This window comes from Homo sapiens, chromosome 2 (assembly GCF_000001405.40).
Source record: "Homo sapiens chromosome 2, GRCh38.p14 Primary Assembly".
Classification (NCBI taxonomy): domain Eukaryota; kingdom Metazoa; phylum Chordata; class Mammalia; order Primates; family Hominidae; genus Homo; species Homo sapiens.
In genome coordinates, this window is record NC_000002.12 from 124526192 (window position 1) to 124551984 (window position 25793).

The window sequence follows — 25793 nt, forward strand, 5'->3', positions numbered from 1 at the left end:
TTTAGAAGGTGAAGATGTATCAGTGATTTGAACAGTGTTTAAACAAATGCCCCACGCGTAGACTGTAAACTTAAGGAAGGTGAAAAATGAGTTTCAGTAATAATAGTCAACTTACATAAATTCTCTCTACAGCTTCAATTAGAAGTTGTAGCATCTCTCTTCATTTTACAGTGTGCCTGTGAGCTGTTAACCAGCTGCTGGGCTTCAGCCCAGCAGTGACTGTCTATTAGAGACGGCTGAAATAATTCCCAGTTATTTATGGGTTATTACCATGGTTTCAAGCTTGCATTCCCATATGCTCTGAACCTATTAAAGCCATTGGGATGGAGTTCGTATGGAGCACAAGCACTCATATACCTGCAAGGCTCTATACCTGTCTTAATGAGAAGTAGATATGCCCTGGTTGCAAGCTACACTAAATCAGTGTAATTTTTTAAGAACACTCTTTAAAAAGGTATAGTATTAACCTTTCCCATATGCTATTACAGCCCTAAAATGACATGCATTTAAACCCTTAGTTCCTTCTAAAACCAGCAAAACATCTGATTTTGCTTTGCACATCACGTCAAAATTCCAGTTACGCTCCTGTGTGTACCTTTCTCAGGAACTAAGCCTGTTAATGCTAACAATTAACCAGACAATTACTCTGCTGCCATCCTTACCCAGAGCGTAATTTTCTTTGAAAGTGTAATTCAGAATTGAATCGTGCATTTAGATATGTGTTTCAAGACAGAACCAAAATTCTGAAGCAGCTATAATACATTTCTTCCTTGGGATGAGTGAAGGATGCCATATAAAAGAATAGCAAATAGTTTACCAATGGAAAAACAAAGTAAGAAGGAGACACATGTTACAGTATTGGTATTCCCTTTGCCACGCTTTTTATTTTCTCTACAGTGATGGAGTATACCCTATTTTGTACCAATTCTGTCCCCTCCCTGAGAATGCTAGGATTTATAATGAAAAGGGTGTGCACTGCTGTGAATGAGAAAGCACCAAACTAATTAGACCTCAAGGTCTTCCATCAATAGGTCGCCAAAGCAATGACGGATCATTTCAGCATTCTTCTTCATCTTTTTTCTCTGTCCCACAGGGTGCCCCGACAATCTCACCGATTCCCAATGTTTAAATCCCATTAAGGCTTTCCAAGGCTGCATGAGGCTCATCTTTATTGATAACCAGCCCAAGGACCTCATTTCAGTTCAGCAAGGTTCCCTGGGGAATTTTAGTGATTTACACATTGATCTGTGTAGCATCAAAGACAGGTAATTATTGTCTCTTCTCCTCTGTTCTGCCACCCCCTTCCCATTCTTACTGTTCTAAATATGAGTTTCTTTAAGCAAAATTCTAATCCACCGACATTAGCCACATTAGACATAATTGAGTTGCCTAATGGAAAATATTTCTGAAAGGATTTCAGGCCCAGAGAAAAAATGGTTTAAATTAGTTGAGTCTCTCTTCATGTTGACTTGCAGTAAATGGGATATGCAAATTAAATCAAAATACAAATTTGTGAAAGGATTAAAATTTTATGCATAAACAACATTTGATTACTTTGAAGTTAAAGCAAAAAGGAGGAAGGAATTACTTCTCTCCTAAACCATTTCATTTTTCACTGCTGTGGGTGTCCTTTCTAACACAGGCAGATGAGCATTGGACCATCTGGGAAGTCTGCAGCAGAGGTTCCCGAAATGCCCAATAACACACAACTACTCCTGGGTTTGGCTGGTTTTTGCTCTTACTGCCCCTACCACTGCTTCTCTGGCCCAGAGATCAGAAAAACTCACTTTATCTCTCAATTTCCCCTGGGATCTGGCTCTTCTTATATTAGAAGTTTCTAAATGCAAAGACACACTGCAGAAAACCAAAGAGGATGGATTCTGAATTTGCATCAAGGTTTACCATGTTCTTCTTCTTTCCTCTCCAGAGCCTACCTCCTTCATTCTTCCAGTTCTGCTCACCCTTGTCAAAATATCGTTTATAGAATGGGTGAATAATATCTGTTCAGTGCTTGCCTATGTGTTGATGATAAAGGGTCTCTGCTTATGTTTCATCTGGGAATAAATTAGCAATAAAGTTACAATAAAGTTAGATAAATGACCAAGAAATGCACCCTTATTTGTCAGACACATGGCAGCAGCAACTTAGTCTGACCCTGAGAATGAGTCGAAGAAGGTTTCAGAAGGTGATGCTGAGTTGAATCTTAAAGCAGAAGACACTGGCAGGCTAGGCCAATGTTGAGAGGGGAAGGGAGATTGGCATAGAAGCAGGAGAAAGCATGGATTGCAAGTATTTCATCAATTCAAAATACTTTTTTGGCATTTGAAGGCATTTGAAATCTCTAATAGTTGAATTGGCAATATCTATTTTTCATAGTGGCATATAAAATAATTGTATATCTTACAATTAATGGTGTCTTAGATTCAATAATATATAGCTCAGTAGGGATGGTAGGCCACTGTGGATTGTGAACCTGGTGTGAATAAGTCCAGAGATGTGGGGCAGGACCAGTCATGAAGGACTTTGTGTACCAGTGGGATTTGGTTTCATGCTCTTGGTGAGAACCACAGAGGAAGGTGGCTAGCTTTTCCTGTTAGAAAGAGTACTCAAGAAGAAGTGAGAAAGGTGGATTGGAAGAGAGCTGGCCCACAACTAGGCAGGTGACTGCCCCAGTTCAGGAGAGGAATAATGAGTAGTAGCAGGTGCCTCTACTGAGGGGCACAGAAATCAGCCATGCAGTGCATAGTCTCTGCTAACGCTAGAATGAGCTGCGTAACTTGGTGAAAATTTACACACATTTCTCCATTAATATCACTATGCATGGGATCATCAACAAATCATGCAGATTTTCTGGCTCTTCTGCTTTGTTTTTTTTTTTTTTCTATTTGACCAGCTGAAAAAGTAGTAATAAAATATGTGCTTCATTAAAATGTGCTAGTTTAGAGCTCGGAGAATAAAAGTTATTGCAGGCGATGGTTGGCAACTATTGGCTAGACCAATAGTCTTTAGTAATGGCGAGGGAGAAGCATCCTACTTCATCAGCCAGTGCAGCCTCTTCCAAAGTGTTGATCAATACAGGGAACATTTATCAACAGGGGTCTCTTATGCTACCTTAATTTTTAATCAAGCAAGCTCTCATTATTTTTGATTGCATGAAAGTCATTGCCATGTACTCTGCATCATTAGTTTTGTGTAATTGTAGTCTTGTATAATTGTATTACATACAATTGTGCTTTCATTAATTGTATAATAAGGGATTGTGTTTAGTTTCGTGAGTAAGTGGTAAGTTTTTCTTGATTTACCAGGCACTGTGTCTAACAGAAGGGAAAGCTGGGGCAAGGGACTGTGTTTGAGTCACTATTTCTTAAACTCATAATTAATGTTATCTGAAGAGAGGCAGGAGTTAGAAGGGCAGGTGTTTTCTGAATTTGGTGTTTCATTTTTAATGTGTTAATCAACGTGAGCTGGATTTCAGGTTAATTGCAAACTCTTTGCCTTCAAGGAGCTTGCTACTTGCTGGGAGAAAGGAAGGGAATAGGCTGGCAGTGGTTTTCCTTACCTGGACTGCTGTCTGGAAAGCCCACAGAGGACAATCTGAGAATCTCTTCTTACTCTGAGACCCCTTGCCAGTCCGTTGTTGCAGGCTGTAGAGAACCAGGCCTCCATTTGCCTCTTTGTGGTTGTCCTACCCCTTCTTTTTCTCTCTCAAAGTGAAGTGGGATCCCGCCCTGCCAGCTTTTGTTTTTTGCTGGCCCCAACCGGGCATCTTACATACTTAAACGGTATTAGTGCTAGTCACGTGGGAAAATCAGATATAAGACATCTAAAGTAGAATTCTGGCCGGGCACGGTTGCTCACGTCTGCAATTCCAGTACTTTAGGAGGCCAAGGAAGGCAGATTAACTGAAGCCAGAAGTTCGAGATCAGCCTGGCCAATATGGTAATATCCTGTCTTTACTAAAAATAAAAACTAGCCAGGTGTGGTGACACATGTCTGTAATCTCAGCTACTTGGGAGGCTGAGACAGAAGAATCCCTTGAACCCAGGAGATGGAGGTTGCAATGAGCCGAGATGGCACCTCTACACTCCAGCCTGGGCGACAGAGCAAGACTCCGTCTAAAAATAAATAAATACATAAATAAATAATAAAGTAATAAAGTAGCATTCCTACCTGAGGCACAAATGTTCCAAAATCTCAAGAGCTCCCTCCGGTGGAGGTCCTTTAAGCAACTTCCTTTTGAGGTGGTGCCTAAGACCCTGACACCTGCTTCCCAGTTTGCACTATTTACAAACCACCTTTGATACTTCATCCTGAGCAAAAGCTAAAAGGGTCTCTTCTCAGGGATTAAGAAACTTTAACCAATGTGCATCTCAGGGATGGGCAAATTACCAAATCTTCTGGCTCCTGGGAGGAAAGGACTTGGAAGAACTGGCCTTGCGCACGGCTCTGGAAGCAGGAAGGTGTTGGTACTGGGCAGCTCCAGTGCCTGGCAGTCCATGGGCAGGATGGGAGAAGGAAGCAGTAGGAATTAGAATAAGGCATTCCTGACACACACTGTGCCCTGTTCACGGTCCTTCTAAACCTCTAGGACACAGTGTGCAGCTGCTGCCCCTCTTCTGCAGGCCAAACCACCAGCCTCATAATCTCTACACCCTAAGCCCCTGTCCTTCATAATAACCATCTTTCCAGCCTCTTTGACTTGAAGTAGGCAAAACACAATAGTCTAAGCCAGCGGTCCCCAACCTTTTTGGCATTCAGGGACTGGGGGCTTGGGGAGATGGTTTCAGGATGATTCAAGCACACATTTATTGTGCACTTGATTTCTATTATTATTACATTGTAATATATAATAATTATGTGACTCACCATAATGCAAAGTCAGTGGGAGCCGTGAGCTTGTTTTCCTGCAACTAGATGGTCTCATCTGAGGGTGATCGAAGACAGTGACAGATCATCAGGCATTAGATTCTCATAAGGAGTGTGCAACCTGGATCCCTCACATGCACAGTTCACAATAGGGTTTATATGCCTGTGAGAATCTAATGCTGAAGTTGATCTGATAAGAGGAGGAGCTTAGGCAGTAATGTGAGTGACGAGGAGTGTCTGTAAGTACAGACGAAGCTTTGCTTGCTCACCTGACACTCACCTCCTGCTGTTGGTCCCAGTTCCTAAGAAGCCACGGACCAGCACTGGTTCTGGTTTGTGGCCCAGGGTTTGAGGACCCCTGGTCTAAGCTATCACAAAGAAAAGTCACTTTCAATAAGGCTTTATTCAGTGAACAGCTGTTGATACACCCTCTGTAGTTCTGACTCATAGGTAGGCACTGAGAGAGTGAGACTGACTTACATCTATCCCTGAGTAGGATATGATGCTGTAAAAGCTCTAGAAGCTCTAGGAGTCCAGAGGCACTAATATCCCCACCTTCTAAAAGGGGAAAGCTAAGACCTGGAGACGTATGTCAGTGTTCTCAAGGTCCCATAGGGCTGAAGTTATGATCAAGAGTCAAGCACTGTGTGTATTCTCTCCTTGGTACTATCTAGCAAGGAGGCACTGATCTGGAAAAGGCAGTCACTCTGTGTCAGTGGCTCTAAATGTGTAACCCCATTTTCCAATTGTCGACCTAAAAGGAAAAAGCTGATGCAAAATTAATATAAGTAGAGAGTTCATTTGGGCCGAGCTTGCTTGAGGCAATCCAGGAGCACAGATTCAAGTTGCCCTGAACAGACACTCAGTTTAGCAGCCATTGCAACTGGGTTTCTAAAGGCAAATGGGAGGACAAGGAGTGAACTGATATAAAGTTCTGCCAGGAATTCTCAATGGTTTACAGTTTACAGATTTGATTAGTGATTGGCTATGTATTGTTAAGCTGTAGGGTGTGGGTTCTAGTGTGTCCAGTGTAGCATTATTAGGTTAATAACAAGCAGTTCCAAGAGGTGAGTACACAGCTCAAAGTGGGGGAGTAGAGTATGACTGGGGTGTCATTTTAATGTTTTATTGGCCTGATAAGTAAAAGGACTTGCATTCCTCACATAAAAGTTTTTTTCTTTTCTCATGCTCAACCAGATTGAATTTTTAAGAATATGCAATATGTCAGATTCTTTGTAACATTTATGTGCCTGATGTAATTCCATCTATGAGGGGACATTCAGAGTGGCATGCAATGTCTAGCAGGGTCTGAGTGGAGTAAGGTGAGCCAGGTTCAAAGAGTCTCTGCCCCGCATCCATGTAGATGATTCCCAGTCAATTCCAGGAGCCATGTCCAGTCCTGTGAGGTTCAAGATCCAGGACAGGAGAGACAGATTAGCAAATGCTGTCCAAGAGTATCAACAGGAGACAGGCTCCAAGGTGTGAAGCCAAACCAGGAGGGAAAAACAGGGATGCTGATGAGGAAGGTGTCTGAGGTGGGGAGAAGCAGAGGCCATACCTGGGAAAAATCCAGAATCCCAGTGCAAGTGGCAGCAGCTTTCAGAAGCAGCAGGACACATTTAAATCCACCCCGCCCACAGTCTGAGATGTGACACACATTATTTAAACTTTTGTCCATGTTTTCCCTTTTGCAAAATCAGGATCACAAAACCTACCTTTGTGCTAAGAGTTGAATGAGAGAGTGCGAGAAAAATGAGAGTGTGCGAGAAGTCAGGTGTTCAATTGCATGACTGGAATGCGGTAGATGCTCAGTAAATGTTCACTGTGTTAATTCCTCTGGCCAAAGGTTTGCCGGTTCTCTAGTTTCCATGGGGAGAGAAGAGGCTTAAGTGCCCCGCCACCCTTTCCCCAACCCCCACTGTTGCAAGTGATCCTTAGTAGTTTCTGGGGTGATTCCCATGTGAATATTTCACATTTGTCCCCCCTCCCAAATCAGTCTGCTTTGTGACCCCCCTTGGACTTTGGTCCCACTTTTTCAGAAGACCTGCCATGGCCCATTAGGAAAGCACTCATAAATTTAGGTGCCAAGGTTATGGTCTTCAGATTTTCCTAAAGCATTAGTCTCAAGATCAGGACTAGAATGAGCCTAGAGAGTAAAATTTAAGGAGACCCCTACTTCTAGGGCCATGCATGCATGGAGATCCTGCATTTGCAGAAACCTGAGAGTGAGGGTCTCTTTAAATCTTATAGGCAAATTGGAGCATTTTAACATCAGAATCACCAGAAGTGCTTGTTAAAACACAAATTACTGGGGGTGGAGCCTGGAAATTTGCATTTCTAAGAAATTCGTGTGTGATGCTGCTGCTACTGGGCTGGCCTGGTGGCCGTACTCTGAGAACAATGCTGTAAAGCTTCTGCTCCTGGAGGACGTGGAATTGTGTGGAATCTGCAAAGCTGATGTGGGTGTGGAGGAGAGGGATGGTTCCTGCCCCCACCTAGGGCCTCAAGCAGCTACTCTTCTGGCCAGAGTCTCTCTGAAAAGTTTTTGCAGCTCCCTCAAAGTCCCAAAGTCCCTTTCTCCAAAGAGGTGTTGAAATCAGCCCAAGGGGTGCTGCAGGAGGCCACTGAGTTTCTTCTGCCTCTGAGCTTTCCTGATCTTCCTCTCTCAGCTCCTCCCCTGCTTCCCACTACAAACAAAGCCTTCATGAATAACAAGGAAAATGATCAGATCCTCTGGCACGCCTCAGTGAGGAGTATTTCGGCTGGAGGAAAGTGTGGTTCTAGAACAGCTACAGCTGCTGACAAGCATAACTGTTTGTTGTGAGGTACCCCTGAACGTCACAGCTTGATCTTTCCTTCTAAAATACTTCACAGCCTGCGGGTGGTGGTGGTGCCTATATAATAGGAGTGACTCCACCTCTCCCCAGTATTGCTTAAAAAACTTTATAAAGATTGATGGACACTTTTGCAGCAACATGAATGGTACTTAAGTGAAACAAGTGAGATACAAGGAGATAAATATTGAATGTTTTCACTTATAAGTGGGAGCTAGATAACATGGACATACAGACTTAGAGAGTGTGGAATGATAGGCCATGGAAAAGTGAGGGAGTTGGACTGGGGTGGATAATGAGAAATTACTTAATGGGTTTGTTTTGGATAGGGGTCCTGATCCAAACCTCCAGAGAGAGTTCTTGGATCTCGCGCAATAAAAAATTTGGAGTGACTCCATGGAGTAAAGTGAAAGCAAGTTTATTAAGAAAGTAAAGGAATAGAAAAATGGCTACTCCACAGGCAGAGCAGTGACATGGGCTGCTTTACTGAGTATGCTCATAGTTATTTCTTGATTATATGCTAAACAAGAGGTAGATTATTCATGAGTTTTTCAGGAAAGGGACAGACAATTCCAAGAACTGAGGGTTCTTGCCCTTTTTAGACCATATAAGGTAACTTCCAGATGTTGCCATGGCATTTATAAACTGCCATGTAAACTCTATCACCACTGTATTTTCTCCCACACACATTCATTTAAGAAATTCGGGTGTGGTGGCTCACGCCTGTAGTCCCAGCATTTTGGGAGGCCAAGGCAGGTGGATCACGAGGTCAGGACATGGAGACCATCTTGGTCAACATGGCGAAACCCCGTCTCTACTGAAATACAAAAAAAACAAAAAATGTAATGAACAATGAGGATGAGCAGAGATCACTTTCATCTTGACTTGGTGGGTTTTGGTCGGCTTCTTTACTGGATCCTGTTTTATCAGCAGGGTCTTTATGACTTGTATCTTGTGACACCAGTCCTGTTGACTTCCTATCTCATCCTGTGACTAAGAATGCCTAATCTCTTGGGAATGCAGTTCAATATGTCTCAGCCTTATTTTACCTAGCCCCTATTCAAGACAGTCACTCTGGTTCAAAAGCCTCTGACAGGTTCAGTGTACGTTGTTCTGGTGATGGATATCCTAAAAGACTTAACTTGACCACTAAGCAATCTATGCATATAGCAAAATTACAATTGAACCTCACAATCTATACATATAAAAAAATGATTAGACAGACACTGATTTCATATGGCCTTCTGGTGACCACCGGGCCCATTCCTTCATCATTTCCTCATACAGTGATGCTACCGGGGAAGATCCGAGGAGATCCCCCAGCTCTGGTTGTGCACAGGAGGAAATGGAGGCCACACAGAGGGAGGCAAAGTCAGATATGGAAGCAGGGTGCTGTTCCTGCGGTCTTTGCCTTTGCATCCTATGGAGACTTTTCGCTGTAATCCTTTCTACAATTAAACCATTTACTTTTTCCAAAGAGGAGATCCCATGTGGAGCACCACATTACATTTCTTGTGGCAAACAAGTTATGAAATGTAGCTTCTCCCTCCATCACCACTGTATTTTCTCCCACACACATTCATTTAAGAAAGCCAGGTGTGGTGGCTCACGCCTGTAATCCCAGCACTTTGGGAGGCCAAGAAGGGCGGATCACAAGGTCAGGACATCGAGACCATCCTGGCCAACATGGTGAAACCCCGTCTCTACTGAAATACAAAAAAAAAAAAAAAAAAAAATTAGCTGGGTGTGGTTCTGCAGGCCTGTAATCCCAGCTACTCTGGAGGCTGAGGCATGAGAATCGCTTGAACCCAGGAAGCAGAGGTTGCAGTGAGCCGAGATCGCGCCACTGCACTCCAGAGTGCAGACAGAGCAAGACTCCTTCTCAAAAACAAAAAAAATAAGAAAGAAAAGAAAAAAGAAAAAGAAAGTGTCTACTGAACTCTCTGGTCAAAATTCTTACCTTGTTGGTTCAGGGTTTGGAGTACAGTAAACACTGAAAGTTGGCAAGCATTATGTTGGATTACCTCCCATAAACAGACTCTTGCTAAAAACCCACCCTGTGTGTGGGAGCTTGTTAAAAACAGTGGGTAATATAAAAAGATTACATTGCGCGGTAATACATATGTTTTAGTTCTTCTCTAAAATTGAAAGCCTTTACATTGGGCGCCAGAAAAGCCATTGGAAGGGCAGTGCCCACACAATCTGAGCTTCTAACTCTGAAGTGAGAAATGTTACAATATGCTGTTCTCCCTTAACTCATGGGATGGGGCCAAAATCAAAACAAGATCATTTCTGCTTTACTATTTATCATTTGTGGTCTATTTCACAGAGGGGAAAAAAAGTTATATTTTATGTAACACTTACTGAGCAAACATTCCTAAATGTTATTTCGTTTTATTCTCTCCATAGTCTGCAAGGCCTACCAAGTGGGTTCTCAAAGTATGGCCCCCAGGACTGCAGCATCGGTGTCACCTGGCAACTTGTTAGAAATGCAAGTCTCAGACAGCAACCCAATTCTACTAGATCAGAAATGTGGGTTGGGGGCCGGGGCATCTGTGTTTTAATCATCCTCCAGGTGACTAGGATGCACACTCAAATTTGAGAACCACCACGTTGTTCGGTGATCGCCGTTTTCTACATAAGACAACCAATTCTTAGAGAGGTTCAGTGACTGCCAAGGTCATATCTTAGTATTTGGAAAAGCCGGGATTCGAATTCAGGTTTTTCTGATTCCTCAGTATATATAAATAAGGAAAGCCTGTTACCAAAAGGCCAGAGAAAGAGGAGACATGGGCTTGGGTAGCCAGAGCGGGCCAGGGAGGGGGCTACAGAGGAAGCAGCACTTCCTGAGGAACTTGAAGAGCAGGTTGGATTTACGGGGGTCAAGGAGGGGTGCTCCAAGGGCTCTCATGTGGAGAGTGTAAAGCTGGGGTTGGGAAGGGCTGCAGTGCTGAATGTTTGCCCATATTGGAAGGGCTGTCTTGGCAGCAGTGGATGCAAGAGAACTGAAATCAGAACCGGAGTAAACTTGCCAGTGCACAAAACAGTTTAAAACTTGAGAGACCAGACACATTAATAGTGAATCTTTAAATAATGGTTACTGTGGGCCAGGGCAGTGTGACAATGTGTGGTGTGTGTGTGTGTGTGAGAGAGAGAGAGAGAAAGAGAGAGAGAGACAGAGAGACTAATCTTCACCACAATGTTGTGAGGTTAATATTATTAACTCCATTTTACACACAATAAATTGGAGGCACAGAGGTACTAAGTAATTTGCCCAAGGTCACACAGCCTATATGTGGTAGAGCCTGGCTGCAACTCATGGAGTCTATTGGGAGAGATTAGGCCTGTCCTGGCACTGTGGTACTTCTAACCCTGCTGTGGGAAGGTGCCCCACATTCTTCGGCAGGATTGTGAAGTGGAAAATGATGCATTTTTGTCTTGCATTAAAATCACAAAGGTGGTTGTATTAAAGCAGGAAGAGAAGGGCTGTGGAACACCTCGGTGCCTCACGGGTTATCATCCCTATCCTCGCAGCTCACTGTCACTATCTCCTAAAGAACACACTGAGATAGACGCAGAACGAGCTCAGGGCTCCCATGAGACACTGGGCTTGATCTAATTCTTTGAGCTGACTGGGGAATAGAAGAAACTGGGAACTTGCCAGGAATGACTGTCTTGAGAAGACAGGCTTCAAGCTGACTTTGTAAAGGTGTTCCATCTGGAACTGCCCAGAAAAAGGACTGATTCATTTCTCTACTTCTTTAATGAGGGTTTCCTTCCCCCATCTATCTCACACCTGCTTGAATCTCAGAAAAGAAGAAGGTTTTGGAGAAAGGGGGAACCTGGATTTGATTAGAAATAAGCGACCTTGAACAAGTGCATCTGTGTCCTCTTACAAACCTCATCTCTATCATCACTTGTTTTTACAAGAAAAGTGGATCATTATCTTGATGAAATGGTCCTTCTCCACCTGTGCATATGGACGGGCACAAAAGAGCCTTTATTCATGGAAAACACGGAGGGCTGAGCAAGCCAGGTTGGCACTTCATTTTGGCCCACCAGACGGTGGTGAGAATCCTTCCCCACCAACTGGTAATCTGACATATTGATGCTGAAAACGAAGCCAGAACCATGAGCCAGGTGAATTATCACAAGCACTTCCAAAGACGAGGAGTTCATTTCAAGTGCTGTATTTTTGCGATTGAGGTACGACATGCATGTCAACGTATCAGGAAGAAAATGTCTACAAAGTCCCCAGGGCTCTGGATCATATCTGTCCTGAGATATACTGGCTTAGAAATTCAGATGTTTTAGGCCAGGCGCAGTGGCTCATGCCTGTAATCCCAGCACTTTGGGAAACCCAGTTTGGTGGAGACCAGGAGTTTGAGACCAGCCTGTCCAACACAGCAAAACTCCATCTCTACTAAAATACAAAAATTATCCAGGCATGGTGGCGCACGCCTATAATCCCAGCTGATGGGGAGGCTGAGGCATGAGAATCGTTTGAACCCAGGATGTAGAGGATGCAGTGAGCAAAGATCATGCCACTGCACTCCAGCCTGGGTGACACAGTGTGTGAGACTCTGTCAGAAAGAAAGAGAGAGAGAAAGAGAGACTCTGTCAGAAAAGAAAGAAAGAAGGAAAGAAAGAAAGAAAGAGAGAAAGAAAGAAAAGAAAGAAAGAAAGAAGGAAGGAAAGAAAGAAAGGAAGGAAGAAAGAAAGGAAGAAAGGAAAAATGAAAGAATAAGAAAGAAAGGAAAAAGAAGGAAGGAAAGAAAGAAAGGAAGGAAGAAAGGAAGAAAGAAAGAAAGAAATTTAGATGTTTTAGATGGCAGAGTAGCAGAGGAGACTTTTTATCTAGATAGAAATGTGAGAAAAAGGTTTAGATTCTCAAGCCACTTATGTGAAGCAGAGAACATTCATAAATTAATGAAAAGAATAAAGAGATTCCTTGGTATTGATTCCTTTACATGATCGATATCTCAATAAGCCTTCATCCAACATCCCGATAAGAGCCTTCCATCTGTTTCTCATGTTCTCTAAAGAGCACTGCCTTCTGCACAGCCAATGTCACATTAATTTTTTCCTCATTTACATTGATGTCCACTCATGGGGCCCTTGAGGCGAAGCACCTGAAGCCTTTGAATGCTGTTTTTCCCTGGTCCAAAAGCATTCATCGATGGCCCATTATAAGCACCATTTATAGACACAGTTGGAAGAGAGAAGGAGTATAATATGTTTTCAGTTGGGAAAAAGGCAGGTCTGACCTGCAGTAAAAGGTTCTCACCTGTGTCTGCAGTGAAATGTAAATTTAAAATTAGCTCTATGCTACTTACATTTTGAATTAAGATATTTCATAGGAAGTTCATAGAATTCCAATTAGGCCTTGTGGGTTTGATTGTGACATGGATTTCTGAAGGCTGAACTGATACTTCTGCATCTGTATCATAGGCATGGGCAGCGTCATAGATGCCATCCACTTTAACACTTAAAATGCCCAAAGGAAGCATCAGTCTCCCTGGTTGTCAACTGAGAAAATCGATATTCACATAAATTTATTAACTTGCCTCAAATTGGAATCAGACTCAGAATTTTAAGGTGGGAAAGCCTGTGCTGTTCATATTTTAGCCCAATCTTGGACACAATGAATATGTCACTTCTTTGTATCTTAGCTCCCCTAGTTGTCAAATGTAGATAACATGTTATAACTGCAAGGTGTTAAACAAAAGCAAGGCGATATTATTCCCGCCTGCCTCTTGGAATTTTGGCAAGGATTGACTGAGATCGGAAAGAAAAGTTCTTAAAGTTAAAAGCGAGAGAGACAGAAATGGATGGGGTTCTGTGTATATCAGCAGGCCAGGTTTTAGAAAACCCATACATAGGCAGAAAACGATGACATTTCTCTGAATAATTTACCTACATATATAACCTATTTTATTTTTTAGACAAGTGATTAATGTTTTCACTTGATTCAAGTTACAAATATGAAATCTTCCCTCTAGGTTTAGCTTCATCTTAAAAATATCTCTTGGACATGATTTACTAAGCCCACTGCAGGGCTCTTCTCTCCTAATCCTGGGAGTACTGTAGACATAGCAGTAGATATCTCAACACCTGAGAAATGCAAAGGGAACACACAGAGCTAAAACAGAGAGTTAATTGGGAGAATGCAGATTAAGTTGGATTTTATGTCTTGCCAAATTTTAGTCTCTAAACTCGTGTGAGGTCTAGTACATCCAGAACACCGTTAACTTTATTATGACAAAATGTTAGAATCACCTTGCTACCTGCTTTTACCTATGCTGAAAAGTATAACTGTGACTGTAATAATTAGGTAGGGGGCTATCCCTGCTTTGGATATGGAAATCTTCTCAGATGTGGTTCCCAAGTAACTCTAGGTTTATAGGTTTGATCAAATCATTGTATTGAGAATTGTAAAACCCTATACTCTGAAATGAGAATCATTTGTATCAACATTAGCATTTGTGTATGTACATAGCTGTGTATGTGTTCACATGCAATATGATATTAGCCTGTGAATTCTGATGCACACTTCTAGGTCCTACTAACTGAGAGACTGCCTGTGCTCTGCTAATATTCCTCTGTGACCTAGTCATTCATTTATGAACATTTCCTTGCATGCTTACTCTGTACCAGGCACATTTCTTTGCCTGAACATCCAAAAGTGAGCAAGACAGAGAGTTTTTGATCTTAGAGTCATGTCATTGATTTTCCCTGCTCTGATCTTCCTTGGATCAGGAATCTGCTTTTTTTTAGTATTATGAATCATTCATTCATTCATTCATTCATTCTTTCATCTCTTGTGTTTGGAACCTTTCTGCTGTGCCAGGTGCTGGGTAGAAGCTGAGGATATACTTGAGTGCCGACCACAGTAGACAATCTCTAACTTCAGAAAGCTCCATGGAAGGACACACATTTGAACCAAATAATCATGGAAATAAACATATATGCTCCCAAATACCATGAGTGTCCTCATGCACATAAATAGAGCACCAGGAGAGAACCTGAGAGGAAGGCCACTTTATACTGCAGAGGGGGCAGTGTGCCAGGAAAGGGGATGTGGACATTGTTATCTTCAGGCTCTACAAAAGCATCCGTACAGAGGTCGCTGCAAACTTTTCTCAGTCAGTTTCTTAGAGCTTTGTCCTCTCCATGGCTTTCTAAGAACCTCTGGCTGATGACTGTGATCTCCATGTTCTGTGTGTGTCCTCTGCTGAAATCCCTGTTTGGTGTGGAGACTTAGAGGATAAGAAGTACAAAATTCCGATTTTTTTTTTTTTTTTTGGTGAGAAGAAATTTTTTCACTGGTGTTTTAGCTGAAAACAAATTCCCCACATTTTCCCAAAACATGTATGTGCTGGGAATTCCTGTCTGCCATTAATACCACTTTCTTACTCTCCTCCCACCACCTCCCATCCCTTCCCTGGCTGCCATGGTTAAAGGGTCAGGCTTCTAGTAATTCAATTCTAATAGTATATAGGCTACACCCCTACACTTAGAAAAATATGAGAAAAAGTCAGCCTACTCAAAATAAACACCAGTGTAAAGGTGGGACTGATATTTCAGCTAGCAATTTGGTAAATCCCAAGAATCTGAAAGTGACAAAAGGAATATGCATTTTAAAGGTCATTCCAATTACCATGCTTACTCATGTTGAGCTGAAACTCTGGAGTTTATGTGAGAAGACCCACGCACTAGGGGGATAAATGAGAACATGTGGTTGGGAGAAACTCGAACAAATAATAAGGAAGGGAATACAAATCACTGTTGTTTTCTGTGATATTAAATAATTCTTCAACCTCAGAGGCATCTGAGAAGTAGAGGAAAGCCAACTATCGATAAATAGCTGGGCAAATCCTCACAACTCTAAGAGCCCAGGATTCCATGATGGATTTACTTCTGATCTACATTTTGCACACTTATATGAGGATCCAGAAGAAGAGGTCTCAAGGGTGAACTCTTGTCTGCATTAAAATGTCTATTTGCAACCACTGCATTCTCCATGTCATAGTGGATTCCCAACTCAATTTTTCTCAATAGAATTATCCTAAATGTAGATATACCTTTCCTGCTTTTGAAATAGGAAAACAAAATAGCCAAGAATTATTCCTTTAGACAGGGTTTGCCTCATATATCTCTCCCACCTCCCCAAATGCATACGTTATTGCAACTGTAGCTATTCTAACCATCAGATTCTGTATGTGCATTTCACATGACCTCCAGCACATGATGGAGCCTGAGGCATTAAACACACGAATCCAAGTCCTCCTGCTTGACTTTTGCAGTCTTCTGGCCTCACCTGTTCCTCCCTATCTATTTTTACCTCCTACTATATGATGAATAATTCATCATTCCATCTGTGTGCATTTACTGAGCATCTAGTATGTTCCAGGACATATATACATAGTTTCTGCCTTAAAGAAGCTCAAGAGCAAGAGAGCTAGATAAGAAACCTGAAAGCAGACATCTTACAAAGGGAAGTTAATGGCACTGAGGGCCATGAAGTTATGTCCCAGCTGCATTTTAACAGGAGAGAAGTAAGGAAAATGGGAGTGTGATGGGATTCCAGAAGTGCACCACTGCCTGCCACAAAGCAGCCAGCTGCCTTCCAGCCTCCAGGCACTTGCTGCTATTTCTCTTGTCTGGAGCTCCCTTCCCAGTTTCTTTTGCCCAAATCCAGCCCATCTGTCAAAGTCTAGTTCAAATCCTACCTACTCTACGAAGTCTTCTTGACTGCTCACACTCTTCTTTGCTTATTTGGGTGTCTCTGGCACTTTCTTCTTATATTTTGTTTAGCTCCCAACCATAGTCATGACTGGTTTTCTATTTGTATCTTGCCCATCCAAAGTTCATCACGTCTACTGATGCATTCAGCTGAGACACGTGCCCTGTGATTATTTACTTAATGATTTGAACCTTTTGAGCTTTAACAGCATCTGCTCTCAGTAGCTGGGGGATAAACTGCATATGAAGCTAACAAAACTCAACACGACTCTTGGTTTTGGGCAAGTATTGCCTCAAGATATGGAATGAACTTGATAATCTTTAATGTCATTGTATACCCAAAACTCTGGAGGTTGCTATCCGAGATTTAGGAGTTAAAGCCTTTCACTTCTTTTCTCATCTTGAAAACTTCCCAATGTGGTTCACGCCAAATACTGCTCTATTTGAATAGCAAGAGTGCCTAATAAAAGCAACGCCAGAGCCAGCTGTCATCATTCACGTGGTGTTAAGTGCTCCTTCTGTAAGCACTAGCTAGCAAGAGTATTTTTGTTTAGCAAGGCCATCACAAAATTAGACAAGCAAACCATAGCAATGTATTTGAGCAATGTAGTCTATAAATAACACAGTGGAAGGAAGCATAGGAGCACATTATCCATATTACAATCTTGTGCCTTAAAAAAAAAAATAGGTTAGCTCTGTAATAGAAGGCAGCTCCAGAGAAATAGACAAAATGTCTTTGGTGATTGTTAAAGGATGTAAGCAGCCTCCTGGTAATAAGATCTGCTGAGTGTACCCTGTGGATTCTGTGCGCCCCTAAGCAACTCCTACAGGCTGAGTAGTGAACGCTTGTAAAGTTGGCGTTGTTTACCTAGCAGGAATGGAACAAAAAATTTTCGTGGAAGGATGCTGATGTGTCTGTAACCATGTCGGCTGTTTATCTGAAAGTGAAGTTATTGAAGAAGAAAGGTTTCACATTAGCCCAGAAAGCAGCATTCGAATCAGATACGGTCCATACACTGCCACTGTTTTTTAGATTTATTTATTTTTTTCTTTCTTTTTCAGAAGTGCCTGGCAGAAACTTAAACAACATTGTTATTCATTTGGCTTTGTCAAACTCTGTAGCATCGTCAAATGTAGAGAGTTGCTTCCAACTTTTGCCAAATGCCATCTAAAGCCTCTTCATTTAATAAAAAGGAATATAGAAGATATATATTTTTTCTCCTTTGATGTTTTACCGTACTTGTTTCTACAGTGGATTCTAACTAGAATCACCTAGGTTTACTAAAATGCAACAATTGGACCAGATGCTAGCTAGTTTTTTTTTCCTGCTAATTTTCTTGTTCAAATCCATAGAGAACTATAATAAAATATCTTAAAATGAACTATGCTCATTTTACCAAGAAGGACACTGAGGTTCACAGGTATGAAATTACTTTCCCAAGATTACAGAGTTGGCAAGTATCTTCCACCCCCAAAAAACTTAGAAGTTAAAAAAAAGTGCCCTTTGAAAGTTAAACTAACCATCTAACAGGTCTTAAGGGATCATCTTGGAGATACAAGAGAGTATCCATGCAAGGCTAGTTAGTGCTTGGACTAAGGCTAATGTTTCTAAAGAAAAAAAATGTGTCAAATAAAAGTAGGTTGGTAAGAAGATGAGTTATAAATAAGGAAAATCAAATAGATAAAGCTAATTTTAGCTAAAGAACTAAATTAAGACTTCCTAACATCAGATATGTAAAGAAAGAAGCCCATTCTGTGTTGCAACATCAATGGGGAATAATAGAAATAACAATTGTACACTCCCATAGTTCTTAATCCTCTTCTCAGACTGAGTTGGAATATCCCCCCTTATAACTGATAAAGCTTACAGGAATGTAATATAATTATTGCTTCAGTGAATCAAATATTACTTGTCTAGACCAGCACTGTGCAATGGAACACTGTGTGGTGATAGAAATGATCTTCTCTATGCTGTCTTAACATCTTGTTACTATTGGTAATAGAGAACTCAAAATGTGTGATACATTTAGATTTAAGTACCACATGTGGCTAGTGACTACCATATTGGATAGGGCAGGGTTAGACACTCTGCTAGGGCCAGTACTTGTGGATTTTACATTTTTCTTATCCATAAGTTCAGCAGCGGACTGCACCAGAGGTTAAGTATAAAGATTGGGTTTGGGCCTTCAAATTCAGATCTGGTGTGGTAGATTTAATGTCAGCCTTAGCAGCCCAGGCTGGATATGGTCATGGTCACTATCTGTCATGGAGCCCCTTCTCCCAAAGACAATTACATCAGGAGACAAGGGCTTATCACTATTTGACTTAATTTCTCCCAACATCCTTGCAAAGAAGTGATTTAACGATTACTAGATCAAAATGTCAAAAACTTTATATTACTTAAGAAGACAAGTTTACTATATCAAGTGTTCTTTTGCTATTTCTGTTACCCAGTTCAAAGTTCCTTTCTAAATTAGAATTCATGTTAAAAAAACACACATTGTAATCTAAACATAATCCATTTAGTAAGGTTTGGTTTCTAATTTTTTTCTAAAATAAGAGAGTCTTCACTTTTAAAATCTCCAATAGCATACTATATGTTGAAGTTATTGACAGAACTCCCAAAACCACCTGCTCAAATCTGAGTAATTCAGAGTAAGAGGTACTCTGCTTGGTCAACAAAACATGTGAGTTCGTTTTCTAGGGTGGGTTTAGATTAATGCCTATCGCAAAGTAGAGGCATGAAACCCCCAAGTTCTGTGACTATTCTTGTCCTGATTTCAAGCTTAATTCACAGCCCTCAAACATTTGGAAAACCTAAGAAGCTAACCTAAAGGAAGAAAAGATATTGATCAGTCTGGTGGAAATATTGGTCCCTTTGAAAATCATAACATTTAACATATATTTATTAATTGGGATTCTAGTATCACATACTAGTCTCTTGTCAGTTTGCTTGCATGAGTCATTATCGTGGTGACTGTGGTCCTGGGAATCTGTCAAGAGTGAATTTCAGGCCTTATCATGTGGAAAACCCAGTTGGCTTTGATTTCATCTGAGTCTCCGTACTAGCACAAATGGCGTCACATAAAGACCTATACCAGACTACAGATGTTAACCCAGGACACTCTTCAAAGCTAAGGATGGGTTACAAATAATTTTAAAATTCAGCCTCAAGCCAAGTACAGTAGCACAGCCCTCCAGTCCTAATTACTGGGCAGGCTGAGGTGGCAGGATGGCTTCAGCTCAGGAGTTCAAGATTAGGCTGGGATACATAGTAAGATTTCATCTCTAAAATATAAATAAATAAAACATTGAAAGTTAGACCTCAGCCCTACCAACTGATAGCTTCAAACTTTGGAATTCATAAAAATCCATTAAAAGCTCTTTTAATGCAGTTGTTTGGACCCTACAATCCCAGAGATTCTGATTAAGTCCATCTGGAATAGAGGTTGGAATCTGCATTTTATCCAACACCCCAGTTGGATAAAAGACTGACCCTGTGGATCAGTCCTTTAGAAGTACTGTGTCAGAAGATTAAATAAAGACATTTCTTTATTGAATTCATCATAATACAGGCTCATCTAAATTTTTTCCTGCACAGTGGGGAGCTATACTTCCAGTTCTGCCTAATGTTAATGGTAGTCTGTGGAAAATGTTTTCTTTGTTCAAATTAGCTTGAGAAATGCTGGAGTAAGAAAAGTGTGTTTCTTTACTGCAGGATTTCTCAATGTGTGTGTGTGTGTGTGTGCAAGTGTGCATCCTCATGCTTATAAACTGTGCAAGGGGGGAAGTCACTGAAAGCTATGCACAAGTTTACAAACGTATATGACTATGAAGCCCTTGTTTCCACAAAACTACTCATTCACATAAGGAGCTTTTGGAAATGCGGCCCTAGAGTGAATAAATCACAGTAAACACCAGGAACCCCTTGGGCTGCTCATTGTGGGCAGTGGGGCAGCAACTCTGGGAGGTAGTTGGTAGTGTAGACAATGTGGCTTCAAAAGCTACCATTAAAGAGAACTCAGGAGTCATAAGCAGACATTAGCCTTCACTTTCTGCTTTTCTCTACAAAACAAACACCCTTAAAGGTAACTTCTTCTGCCTCTTTTTCCTTCTAGTATGGAGGACTTGTGCTTTTGATTTGTACAAACAAATTTTCAGCCTGCATTTTTAGTGTCTGTGATTTTAACTGACCACTTGACTTGTGAGCCTCCCTTTCCTAGAGATAGTGATACTTGTCTTACAAGATTGTTTTATTGATTCATTGAAGTAATTATTGTGATAAGCTAGCACCAAGTCCAGCACGCTGAGTCCAGAGTTTGACACCTGGTAGAGAAGTTAACTTTATTTTATATGTGTAAATATTTAGGGAGAATTAAGCAAGAAAAGGGAGGGAGCAGAATCTCTCTGTCTTTCCCCTGTCAAACCCACTACCTCCCCCACCCCCGACCAAAACCCTAGAGATAGCAAATAGACTGCAAGTTTTATACCAGCCTCAATGCTAGCAATGGTGGCATCAGACAGTATGCAGATTCCCTGGCAGGCTTTGGGCTCAATAGAGAAACGGTGCATTGAATGACAGATGAGTGAGGTGACATCAGCCACAGGAGTAGCAGGAGAGAGTAAGCCCCGCAAGGAAAAATTAAAAACAAAATGAGGAGTGACCTGAGCCATCTAAGAACTGACTATCTGTATGGCATTTAATTCTAACTTAATAAAAATACAGTTGATGGGCAGTTAAAGACTGAATTTTGTGGTGTGGATTGTTCATTTTGGGAATTCTTTCCCGGGATAGAACTTAAATTGAGCTTAGAATAACAAAGAGGATTTTCATGCAAAAGCGAGAGCCAGTAAAGGCAGGGGACATGTGTATTCCTGTGTGAGGCCCTTTAGAACCCATCTATGATTTGATCAAGGGGCTCCTGTTGTGTCAGTATCTGGGGTGGCTGCTCGTATTCATCTCCCATGGTGTGGTCCTCCAAGAGTTCTGTATTCTTGCGTAAGTGCTTGCCTTGGCCAGGGTGGCTGGTCCAGCCAGGCCAAAGAGAGCCCCTTGCAGGGGTTCTCATATTTAAGATTAAAGAGTAAGGTTCTTTTCTCATAGCAGAAGCCTTAGGCTGCAGGATTCAGCAATTGGCCGCCACAATTCCTGCCACGGGAGGAAGTGGGGATGAGGGAGGGTGAGTGAAATCAACTCACAGAGAAAAGAGATGGCCAGGGAGGAGCCAGCAACCTGGTTGTATTCAAGCCCTGAGGTTCAGCATTTCCTGAAGCTATGCTGTGTCTCTTCCTGCTGTTTAGAGACATTCAGCTCTTACTTGCATCTTCGAGCCCATGTCTCTTTCATTTCCTAAAATGGCTTAAACTGTGTTTTCACCATTTCCATCTGAGGTTTTCATTAGTATAAGTCTTTTTAGACCACATCTTTTACAATCTTAAGTTAGATGATGAAGAATCTAAACAAGTTGAAAGAGGGGGAAAAAACATTAATTGTGGAAGGAAGGATTTAGTGTTTTCCTCTTTGTTTGTGTTCTCCATAATCTCCATGTGTAAGGGTCGTGACATTTTAGCTCAAATTGGATGCAGAATCTATTTCTAGAACAGGCACGATGTCAGGGGCCAATTAAGTTGTTGGCCAGCTGTAGTTTGAATCATTAACAACAACCTGTGGCCACCAGCAGTTTTATGGCGAGGCTGTGCTATACCACTGAGCGTGGCTTAGGATCTCTCTGCCTTAACTGCTCAAGCCCCAGATGCAGATCAGAACTGAAGTGGAGAGGCAGCTGCCCAGTTCACTCCATGAAACCAGGTTTGCTGTTCACAAGGACAGGACACTGATGAAATTTAAATGAACAAAGATGAAGTGTAACCTTTGTTTTCAGCTCCTGTGGTTGGCAACAGAGAATGGAAATCCCAGATCTGCATAGGCAGGCTGAGTAGTATACTGAGCTTAGCAATGTGCAAACCAAATCTCTCTCTCCACGAACTGGAAAAAAAAACAAAACAGTTAAAAAAAGGAAAGAGTGCAGGAAAGAAAAAAACACAGTCTATGACTGTGTCACAAAACCATCTGCAAGTATAAGTGACAAAAATAACAAGAGTTCACAGTTACTTACATTTTACAAGACCTTATTTAGCGCCCACAAGGATTAAGATATTGTGCTTTGTCTTGATTTTAGAAACAGGGACACTAAATCTCTGAAAGGGATCAATAATTGCAAATGTCACAGAGCTAGAAACTGGAGGAACTGGAATTAAAACTTGGGTCTCTAATCTGACGCCTGGGCTATATGACTGAATCTTGTCACCTCTGAAGGAGGTCACACTATGCCTCAGCTGGGGCACAAGGGGATGGTCTCAGACCAGCCTTTACTCCATCACAACAGCCTCCATGCTCAGACATGGTAGCCTCTGGGCACAGTCCCTAATCCTCTGCTTCTCAAACACCAGCTCAATTTTAATTTCATTGCATGACCTTTAAAGCAAAAATTAAAGAATCTTGCAACATGTCAAAATCGATGAGCATCCTGGGTAATCCAGGCACTGCTGGTATCTGTTCACTTCATCCATGGGTTCTAGAGACCACGGCAGCCACTATAGCAGTAAGCGCCAAGCTTGGACAGTGGTAGTCTCCATTGGAAAATGAAACCTAGAGGAGCCGGGATAATAAGATCCAGAGGGAGATTAGTGGACCCAATTATAACCTGTGTCCTTTTTGGCTTGCACTATATGAGTAGTTTTCATTTTTACTTTAATGTGGTGAAATCTTTTTATTCCATCAAATAAAATTTTAGTTCTATCCATAACAAATAAATACAATATTTGAAGATTAAATTAGATAATTCTAGACCTGGTCTATGAAAATAATTCTTTGATCCAGGGGGAGGAGTGTCAAAATTTGCAGTCATACATTAGCCTCAGTATTCATTTTGTTTGGCTGTTCTGGTTTGGTTGCTAAATATTAAGAAAATCTTGATTCACACAAATAAGCTGCCCACTGATAGAAGTTCTAGATACCCTGTTTTGCAATAGTAGATGTTTTTCAATAAGACTGATCTAGAAGCGTTCAAAAGTAGGTATAATTGCTTTTTTTCTTCAAATTTGAGAATCGTTTGCATTTCTTAAAAAAGTAAAAGCCAGATAAATATATAGTCAGTGCTAACACTTGCTATGATACGTTATTATTTTAATGTCATGTTCATCCATTCACTTGTTCTTGCTTCATTATTATGCAGTGGAAAGAGCTTGTAGCATGCAGGTGTTCCTGAGCATGGCTGGGTTTAAGGGGATGGGGCTGTGGAGCAGCGGTGCCCTCTCTGTATCCACGCTACCTGCGTGGGCCTGAGCAGACCTGATAATACATGACAGTGCAGTGTAACATCATTCCCAATTAAAGTTCACAGGAATCCCAGGGGAGGTGGGGAAAGATTTCCATTAAAGTCCCCAGAGTTAGCCTGGAGCTAAAGACTAACATTGCTAGTGCAGTGTGTTAAAACCTGATTCATGACACATTTGAAAACGATACCATTTTAACATAAAACTTACAAAATAATTAGAAATACTTCACAAGAGAGCCCAAAACAAGGAAAGGAAAGGGAAAAAATAAAACCCCACAATTTGCAACCCCTCTGAACCATCTCTACAGAATGACTCTCTACTGAAGTGCAGAACTTTGCTATTCAGTGAGGTCTGGGAGCCAGCAGTTTTCTCATTCCCATAAGCTTATTATAAATGCGGAACCTCTGTATCAGGGTCTTCATTTTAACCAAAGTTTGAGAAGCACTGAGTCAAGTAATAGAATTATTTCTATTCATAGTGGAATCTGAGTGATGTCCTAAAATTAAGAAGACCCTTACAGTAATCCAGAGAGCTCTACTGTCTGTGCGTTTCCTGATAGCTCCAATATTCCAACCGAGGTATCATAATCATGATGCTGAACAAAAGCCTGTGAGTGCAGGGAACACAAAACCTGCTTCCTAGTAGATGTGAGGTGGACTAACCCAACCAGATTTCTCTCCCATTAAATCTACAGCCCCTCTGTCAATTGCGTGGTGGACTTCCATTCTGATGGATCACTTCTAGGTCACTGAGATAAATGGGTTGATTAAAGAAATTTAATTATATTCTATTTTGTGAAAATGACCCCTACCAAGCTAATAGGGGGTTCTCTTCCTTTGTGAATTTTTTGATATATATTATTTTATAGTTTGGTGGTAGGGGACTTGTTTCTAAAGTTCCCAGGTAGCAATGTCTTGCTACTATTTTCATAGGCTCAGGTGGTTTGTCATACTAACAATATTAGTATGCATGATGCTGATACATTCTTCTTGATTCTGAATGTCCTCTGCTTTGAAGAACTGGCCTTTGAAGAACTGAGCACTTCAGGGTCATACATTTTTCAGTGTGCGGTAGAGTAGAGAGAGGACCTTTCCCTTTTCTGTTCAGTGGCCTTCACTGGCCCGTGCAGGGAGAGGCATGTGTGCCCTTTGTGCCCGGCTTCTTCTTGAACCCCAGCATTGTTGCTGGGATCACTGACGTGCATTGCAAACTCATTCGATCATCTTTGCTTGTCCATTATCTGGGGATCATCGCAACAATCTGCGATTGACTCCCTGCTGTGAACTAGACCCTGGAAAATTTAGGAAACTGACTTTTGACACTTTTCTTTTTATTCCCTTAATTTCTTAATGTCTGCATCTGCTGTAATTACAACAAATTTAAATTATAATGGAGATCCAACTGTGGGGGTAAAATGGGATTATGATAATTGTTAGAATGGAAAGACATAGAAATAGGTTTCAAAAGCTTTCAGAAAAGCTATCTGACCAAAACGAGATCAATGCGGTTGGCTGCTAATTAAAGCAAACAGACAAAGGAACGCAACCTAGCTGATTTTTAATGTATGCGCTTCATAACACAGCTTACATTAGTCAGCTTGCATTTTGAGGACTATTGAAATGTTTTGTTCTTTTGTCTCCAAGGAAAGCATATAGAAATTGAAACTGACCTTCAATTTTATAAAGAAGGAATGAGAATTCTTTAAAAGGGAGGTTACTCCATGGAGCATAAATACATTCAGATTCATGTATAGAGAATCATTTATCTGAACATTTGGGAATTTCAAAGGCCTGTCATTTGGTGTCCTATTCATTTCAGTCTGTTATGGGAAATGGAGAAGAGGGAAATTTAACAGGGAAGAAAAATTATTTCCGTAGGTTTTTATTTAAGTACACTGAGTATATTTTTTAATGCTCTTATCTTTTAAGCGATGATTTTCTCAAGATGTGTTCAGGTTGAAGATTTTTTTAAGAGGGGTAGGCATGTGTCTAAACAGTTCATATGTCTAAA

The 25793-nt window shown here is 41.3% G+C and overlaps 1 protein-coding gene across 3 annotated transcripts in view, besides 2 other annotated features; it reads left to right on the forward strand.

The window, feature by feature from the left end:
• The window catches only part of CNTNAP5 (contactin associated protein family member 5), an 895933-nt gene that overhangs the window by 500905 nt on the left and 369235 nt on the right, over window positions 1-25793 (forward strand). For all 3 annotated transcript variants that reach the window (NM_001367498.1, XM_017003316.2, NM_130773.4), the window contains exon 10: window positions 1094-1265. In NM_001367498.1, coding sequence (NP_001354427.1) covers window positions 1094-1265 — 172 coding nt within the window. The remainder of the gene's footprint in view (window positions 1-1093; window positions 1266-25793) is intronic.
• Window positions 6905-7406: an enhancer, noted in NCBI's record as "NANOG-H3K27ac hESC enhancer chr2:125290673-125291174 (GRCh37/hg19 assembly coordinates)". NCBI's record gives its function as "activates a minimal SCP1, AML or CMV promoter by ChIP-STARR-seq in naive H9 embryonic stem cells {active_cell/tissue: H9 hESC(naive)}" and the evidence as "EXISTENCE:reporter gene assay evidence [ECO:0000049][PMID:30033119]".
• Window positions 7407-7906: an enhancer, noted in NCBI's record as "NANOG-H3K27ac hESC enhancer chr2:125291175-125291674 (GRCh37/hg19 assembly coordinates)". NCBI's record gives its function as "activates a minimal SCP1, AML or CMV promoter by ChIP-STARR-seq in naive H9 embryonic stem cells {active_cell/tissue: H9 hESC(naive)}" and the evidence as "EXISTENCE:reporter gene assay evidence [ECO:0000049][PMID:30033119]".